Source organism: Homo sapiens, chromosome 2, assembly GCF_000001405.40.
Source record: "Homo sapiens chromosome 2, GRCh38.p14 Primary Assembly".
NCBI classification, from domain to species: domain Eukaryota; kingdom Metazoa; phylum Chordata; class Mammalia; order Primates; family Hominidae; genus Homo; species Homo sapiens.
This window is the reverse complement of record NC_000002.12, coordinates 96,003,004-96,010,530: the sequence shown is the minus strand read 5'-3', so window position 1 is coordinate 96,010,530 and position 7,527 is coordinate 96,003,004. Positions and strand designations below refer to the sequence as shown.

The 7,527-nt window shown below is 44.1% G+C and overlaps 1 pseudogene, besides 3 other annotated features; it reads left to right on the top strand.

Moving 5' to 3' along the window:
• Positions 39 to 118: a silencer, noted in NCBI's record as "silent region_11746". NCBI's record gives its function as "represses an Ori minimal core promoter by ATAC-STARR-seq in GM12878 lymphoblastoid cells {active_cell/tissue: GM12878}" and the evidence as "EXISTENCE:reporter gene assay evidence [ECO:0000049][PMID:35858748]".
• Positions 39 to 900: a biological region, named in NCBI's record as "H3K4me1 hESC enhancer GRCh37_chr2:96675379-96676210".
• Positions 69 to 900: an enhancer, noted in NCBI's record as "H3K4me1 hESC enhancer chr2:96675379-96676210 (GRCh37/hg19 assembly coordinates)". NCBI's record gives its function as "activates a minimal SCP1, AML or CMV promoter by ChIP-STARR-seq in primed H9 embryonic stem cells {active_cell/tissue: H9 hESC(primed)}" and the evidence as "EXISTENCE:reporter gene assay evidence [ECO:0000049][PMID:30033119]".
• RN7SL210P (RNA, 7SL, cytoplasmic 210, pseudogene) lies at positions 5,681 to 5,968 on the top strand (annotated as a pseudogene).

Here is a 7,527-nt window from a genome sequence, read left to right as displayed (position 1 = left end):
CTAGCAGGGCACCAATCCCGGAGGGGCGGGCCCAGTGCGGGGCGGGCGGCGCCGGGGGCTCTTCAGGCTCAGGGCATAGGCAGGCGCCGGCCGCGTTTTCTGGAGACGGTCGCTCTCGGAGGGACCCTGCAATTGCCCGAGACCGAGAGTGGGCGCTGCCTGAAAGTTTGTCCCTGGGCGCTTCGCTGGCCTCATCCGGTCTCGGCCCTGTTCTGGGCCTGGCGCCTTTCCCATTGTTGGGGAAAGTGGTCTAGGAGACCAAGGCAGCGTGCTGGGTGGGAGAGAATGATTTGTGGCTTCTGATTCTGACATATGTCGTTGAGGAGGGGAGGGATGAGTGACCCTGTTTTACTTATGGAGAACCTGGGGCCAGAGCTGTTTTCCCAGGGTGACACAGGCGGTGAGTAGTGGAGCTGGCATTCCTGACCCCAAAGCTCAGCGTTTCCCAGCCACTCCCAGCAGCCAGGCCTTCACCTGCACTGCTGGGCGCAGGTGGGGAAGTGGGGAAACGGTGCTCCATCCCCTGCAGAGGGCAGGCGTGCAGGGAGCGGAGGCTGAACTCCACAGACAGCTACTGCTCAGCTCTTCGGCTGCCGGCTTTGAAGAGTATGAGGGGCTCTGGGCAAGAGGCCCCCACATTACTCAAGGACCAGATCATCAAGAGCTTTACTTGTCCCACGAAGGAGTCTGGACCTTGTTTAAGTGCACAGGAGACCGCTGGAAGGTCCTCAGTGGCGTGCCATGGCCCGACTTCTATTTGAGAAGTTTTTCTCTGGCCACCTGTCTAAGGAAAGGTATCTGGGTGGGTGGTGCGGGTGAGAACAATGATGGTGCGGTGCTTGGCGGAGAAGGTGAGTGTTCATAGATGTTCAGGAGGAAGAACTGACAGCTCTGGATGACAGGAGGTGGAAGTGAGAAGGAAGCAGGTACAAGGCCGACTCCTGGGTCTCTAGCCTGGTAGGTGCAGGGCTGATCATGGAGACAGGGCTTCTGGAGGAGCAGCGGGTCTGGGGAGATGACAGTGAGCTCCAATTTGCATGGGACATCCAAAGGGCATTGAACAGTGGGCAGCTGGAGACGTGGGTCTGGAGCTTGGGACTTCAGTCTAGCTTACAGAAGGTCACCACCGATATAGAAATGGAACCTATGGCCGGGTGCAGTGGCTCACACCTGTAATCCCAGCACTTTGGGAGGCCAAGGCGGGCGGATCACGAGGTCAGGAGATCGAGACCATCCTGGCCAACATTATGAAACGCCGTCTCCACTAAAAATACAAAAAATTAGCCGGGCATGTTGGCGGGCGCCTGTAGTCCCAGCTATTCGGGAGGCTGAGGCAGGAGAATGACCTGAACCCGGGAGGCGGAGCTTGCAGTGAGCCCGGATCACACCACTGGGGGACAGAGCAAGACTCCGTCTCAAAAAAAAAAAAAAAAAAAAAAAGAGCCTATGGGGGTGGCTGTGATCAGGGGGATGTGCTGAGGAGAACCTGGCACAGGTGTTTCATTAAGCCATAGCTCCCAAAGACTTTCTGAAAAGCTAAGTTACAGCCTGAAAGAAAAGATCTTCAGAGGCTATATTTGATAAAAGACTTGTATCCAGAATATAGAAAGAGCACTTAAAATCAATAGATAAAATCAAACAATTCAATTTTTTAAATGGACAAAATATTTGAACAGACACTTCACCAAATAAGATATACAGACAGAAAATTAAGACATGAAAAGATGCTCAACATCATTAATCATTAAGGATATGCAAATTGCAAGCACAATGTGACACCGTCTCACACCTACTAGAATGGACAAAGAAGACTGATTATACCAAGTATTCACAAGAATGTGGAGGACCTGGGATTCTTGTACGCTGCTTATGGGATTATAAAATAGTATCACTACAATTGAAAATCATTTGGCAGTGTATGAAGAGTTAAACATACTCCTACCATATGACCTAGCCATTTCAATCCTAACTATTGACAGTATTGAGTTGTACCTTAGCCCTTTGCTCCTAGAAATAGTGAAGGTTAAGGAATCCTTCCACTCCTTTGTTCCAGAAAACACCCTACTGGAAAGAACCAGTGGCTTTCCATATAGCTTGAATAAGAATCCTGAATGTCTCCTCCTGACCAGACCATACACAGACCCTCTAAATTCCCATTCTTGACATCATAAATGATTAGCTGGACTGCTTGTCCCCACAGATCAATAAGAACAAAATGCCTGTAACCAAACCTTGGTTCAGATTCTCTCCTTCTCCAAGCCCCTGACCTTTGGCCCACCCGCAGCTTGTGCCAACCCACCGCCTTCCTGAGGGTCCCTCCTGAGAACAGGCTGTCTGCAGGGTAAGACCTGCTCGATCGTGACACTCTTGCTCAGCTCACTTTCCCATAACAGTTCTTTCTAGCCATGTTTACGCCTCCCTATACAAGGTCAGCCCTTTGCCTAACCTCTGAGACACTTGAGGATCACATCGTCAGACTGTCTCCTTATTGTAATAGTCCCCCCCCAACCCCCACAACAATCCTTTTGAATAAATTCTCTTTTTATGGAATCCAGATTTATATTTTTGTTTGATAGTAATTACATGAGAAATAAGAAAAATATGCTCATGCAAAGATGTATTCAGAAGTGTTCACAGCAGGCTTTTTGTAAAATCCCCAAACTGGAAACCACCCAATTTTCCATTAACAGGTGAATGTGTAAACACTCTGTGTATAGCCACACTAGGGAATACTACTCAGCAATAAAAAGGGACAAATTATTGATACAACATAGAAATATATCAAGATAATTATTTGGAGTGAAAAAGGGTAGATTAAAAATGAGTACATATTGGATGATTTCATTTATATGGAGTGTCCTTGAGGGATATCTTCAAAGACCCCTAGCAGATGCCTGAAACTGCAGATAGTACCAAACCCTACATCTGCCACGTCTTTTCCTATACATAGATGCCAGTGAACAAATTTAATCCAGATGAAGTTAATCTGGTGCTACACGGTTGCTGTCAATCAGAATACGTTTCTGTTGACATCTTCCACTCACAAATCTAATGCTTTTTCTACCCTAACTAAGCGCTTCTCACACACTGTAGCCATAAGTTTTGCATTTTGAGGTGTGACAGCAAAACTGGCACAAATTTCTTTTTCATTCTTCACAATTTCATGGATAGAAGATTCATTCTTTCTGTAGATCTTAGCAACCTCATTATGTGATTTTTTTTTTTTCCTGGCAGCTTGAGAGGGGCACATGTTAGCAAGAAGGAGCACAGCATCCCTGCCAAGTTATCTGTCCTACGTGTACCCTGGGTTAGACACACCCTCCTCTGGCTTGCTGTGGTCTGGCCTCACCCTGCGATGCAGGGGCTCCATCCACAGCCCTCTGTCCAGGAGCACCCAGGCTCTGCTTACATTTTTTCAGGGATAGGGAGGTCACTGCTGTGTGGGCGGCTGGGCCCAGTATTTTATGGGGAGGGGGAGAATGGAAGGCAACTCTGTCTTCAAGTGTCATCACTGTCCTGGGCGCATGGAGCAGCCCAGGTAACAACGTGCCCTCGGTGTTCCCTAATGCTGGGTAGTCCTTCCTGTCAGAATGTGCTTCCTGTGACAACCTGAAGCCTGTGACTCCTAGCTGGTAGAAATGTCTTCAGCTTGCCCCTGGAGCTGTGCAGAGCACATCTTGTCTTGCATTTTCTAAAATGTTTGAATAAAACCAGCATGTCATTCCTCTGCCACCTCTCCCCTACTTCCCTCACCTTTCTTAGACCTCACATCATTCTGATAATCTCCTTGGGGTAGATTCAGTCACCGTTGGTCATCACCAGCTGTGCCTCCTCCTGCTGGAGGATGGGGTGTTCACATCTAGCTGAACTAAGGCCTGGCCATCAGACTTGTTTTGGCCGATGCTATGTGGGCAGGAGCATCATAGACCCCTTACAAGGCTTCTGTAAAAGCCTGCCTGTGTTTGCCATGTCTCTTTTCCCTCTGCTACTAGATAGAATGCTCTAAATAAGAACCACTCTGTCAGCTTGTGTCCCAGAGTAAAAACGACATGGATCGAGCCACAGCCAACTCACATCGGATGTGGAATATGAGGGAGATGACACTGAGATTTGGGAGTCTTTTGTTATTGCAGCAAAACTCAGCCCATCCTGACTGATATGACTCATTTGCCAAAGTCTCTTAGAAAGTGGGATATCTCACCTTAAGAGGATGTGAATGGCCTGGAGTAGGATAGCATGCCCAATTCCTTGTCCAGAGATTACGGAAACATCTATGAGTTCAGCATCTCTTACAGAAGAACATGATAATTACCTTGAGTGCAACCCATTCCTTATGTATATGAAGAGCTGACAGAAAATGACTTCCTCATTCTTCACCTAAGCAAAAGAGCATCTACACCTGAAGAGACCACTTGCCCTTCACTGACATTAAATTTCATCCTACTGACTCTGACCTATCTCCTTAGGCTGTTGGGCTTATTTTTTGAACATTGTATTATGAAATTTTCAAACATACAAAAAAGTTGGAAAAAAAGTACAATGAAAACCTGTATACTCACCACCTAGACCTTACAATTTATGTTTTACTATAGTTTCCTTATCACATGTACATCTATCCTTCCACCTGTCTATCAATCCATCTTGTCTTTTGATGACTTTCAAAGTAAGTTATAGACATCAGTACACTTTCCCTGCCCCCCTCAAACATTTCAACATGCACACATTGGCTAAAGTTCAATATTTGCTTATGCTTTTTAGGTGTATACAGAGCTCTAACTGTCCTGTTCCATCCAAAGGGGGAAAACCAAGAAGCACTTGTGAAGTTAACATTTCAGAGACAGAGGATCACTAAAAGGCTGAGACCTAATCATAGGACTGTGATCACTTTTCTGTCCTTTGCCACCTTACTACGACATTACTATAGGGCCTACTAACTGCAGTTCCTCTTACCCAGTACCTCATGTCTGATGTCAAGAAAAAAATTACAAGTCATACTAAAAGGCAAAACACAAAGTTTGAAGAAAAAGAGCAAGCATCAGACCCAGACTCAGATATGGCAGGAGTGTTAGATTTATCAGACTGGGAATTTAAAACAACTATAACTAATATACTAAGGGCTCTAATGAATAAAGTAGACAGCATGCAAGAACCCGCGAAGCAGAGAGATGGAAATCCTAAGAAAGAATAAAAAGAAAAGCTAGAGATGAGAAACACTGTCCTAGTGATGAAAAATACCTTTGATAGGCCCATGAGTGTAATGGACATGGCTGAAGAGAGAATCTCTAAGCTTGAGGATATATCAATAGAAACTTCCAGGACAGAAAAGCAAAGAACAAAGAGACTGAAAAAGTGAAACAGACTATTCAAGAACTGTGCGACAACTATGAAAAAAATAACATACACATAATGGGGATGCAAGAAAGAGAAGAGAAACAAAGAGAAGAGAAAGAAACAAAAAATATTTAAAACAATAATAGCTTGAGCAACATAGGGAGACCCCATCTCTACAAGAAAATTAAAAAATTAGGGGTGCATGGTGCACACCTCTGGTCCCATCTACTCAGTGGGGTGAGGTGAAAGGATCATGTAAGCCCGGGAGGTCAAATCTGCAGTGAGCCATGATTGCACCACTGCACTCCAGCCTGGGTGACAGAGTGAGACCCTGTCTCAAAAAATAAATAGATGTGGTGGCACACACCTGTAGTCCCAGGTACTTGGGAGGCTGAGGCAGGAGGATTGCTTGAGTCTGTACAGGAGTTCTGGGCTGTAGTGCACTATGCCGATTGGGTGTCTGCACTAAGTTTGGCATTAGTATGGTGACCTCCAGGGAATGGGGGAACACCAGGTTGCCTAAGGAGGGGAGAACTGGCCCAGGTCAGAAATGGTGCAGGTCAAAATTCCCTTGCTGACCACACCTGTGAAAGGCCACTGCACTCCAGCCTGACCAACACAGCGAGACCCCACCTTTTAAATAAATAAATAAATAAAGAATAATGACAGAGATTTTCACCAAATTAATATCAGGCACCAAACCATAGATCCAGGAAGCTCTGTGAACACCAACAAGAATAAATGACAAAAAATTCCACCCAGGTATAGCATATTCAAACTAGAAATCAAAGATAAATAAAACACTACTGGAGGCCAAGGCAGGTTGATCAGAGGTCAAGGTGGGTGTATCACTTGAGGTCAGGAGTTCGAGCCAGCCTGGCCAACATGGCAAAACCTCATCACTACCAAAAACACAAAAATTAGCTGGATGTAATGGTGGGCGCCTGTAATCCCAGCTACTTGGGAGGCTGAGACAGGAGAATCGCTTGAACCCAGGAGGTGAAGGTTGCAAGGTTGCAGTGAGCTGACATTGCACCACTGCACTGCAGCGTGGTGAAAAAGCGAGACTCTGTTCCAAACAAACCAAGAAACAAACAAACAAAAACTATTGAAAGAAGCCAGAGGAAAAAGCCACCTTACCTATAGGGAGCAAAGATAAGGATAACATCTGCCTTCTCCTCAGAAACCATGCAAACAAGAAGAGTGTGAAGTGAAATATTTAACATCTTGAGAGAAAAAAATAAACAACCTGGAATTCTGTACCCTGTAAAATTATTCCTCAAAACTGAAGAAGAAATACAGACTTCTCACACAAACAAAAATTGAGGGAACTTATTGTAGTACATGTGCCTTGTAAGAAATACTGAAAGAAGTTCTTCCAAGGGAAAGAAAAACATACAAGTCAGAAACTTGGATCTATATAAAGACAGAGAGCACTGAAGAAGGAATGAGTGAAGATAAGATAAAATAGTAACTTATTTTTTATTCCAAATTGATCTAACAGATAACAGTTTGTTCAAAATAATAATAGCAAGAATGTATTCAATTATGTATTCATATATGTGTATATATATCCACAGAAACATATATACTTATGTATAAATACATATGCTTATGTATAAATGAAATGAATGACATAGTGATATAAGAGATAGGAGGCAGGAATTGGTATTATTTTGTTATTATAAGGTACTTGGTACAACCCATGAAGTAGTGTATGCTATTTGAAAATGGATTTGCATTAGTTGTAGATGTACATTGCAAATCTAAGGAAAACACTAAAAGAAGTGAAAAAAATAAGAAGAAAAGTATTTTTTTTTAAAAGAAATTGCCTTCCTCCACTTGGGCTGCTATAACAAAATAATTTAGACTGCATAATTTATAAATATGAGAAATTTATTTTTCATAGTTCTGGAGGCTGGGAAGTCCAAGATCAAGGCAAGAGCAGATTTGGTGTCTGATAAGGGCTCACTCTCTGCTTCCAAGATGGTACCTTCTTGCTGTGTCCTTGTGTGGTGGAAAAGGTGAATAGCCCCCTCTCACCTATTTTATTACAGCACTAATCCAGTAATGAGGGCTCCACCCTTATGACTTAATCATCTCCCAAGGGCCTCACTTCTTATATTGGTGATTAAATTTCAAGGGAACATATTGAGACCATAGCAGAAATATGTTGACAATGTAATTATTTTTTGG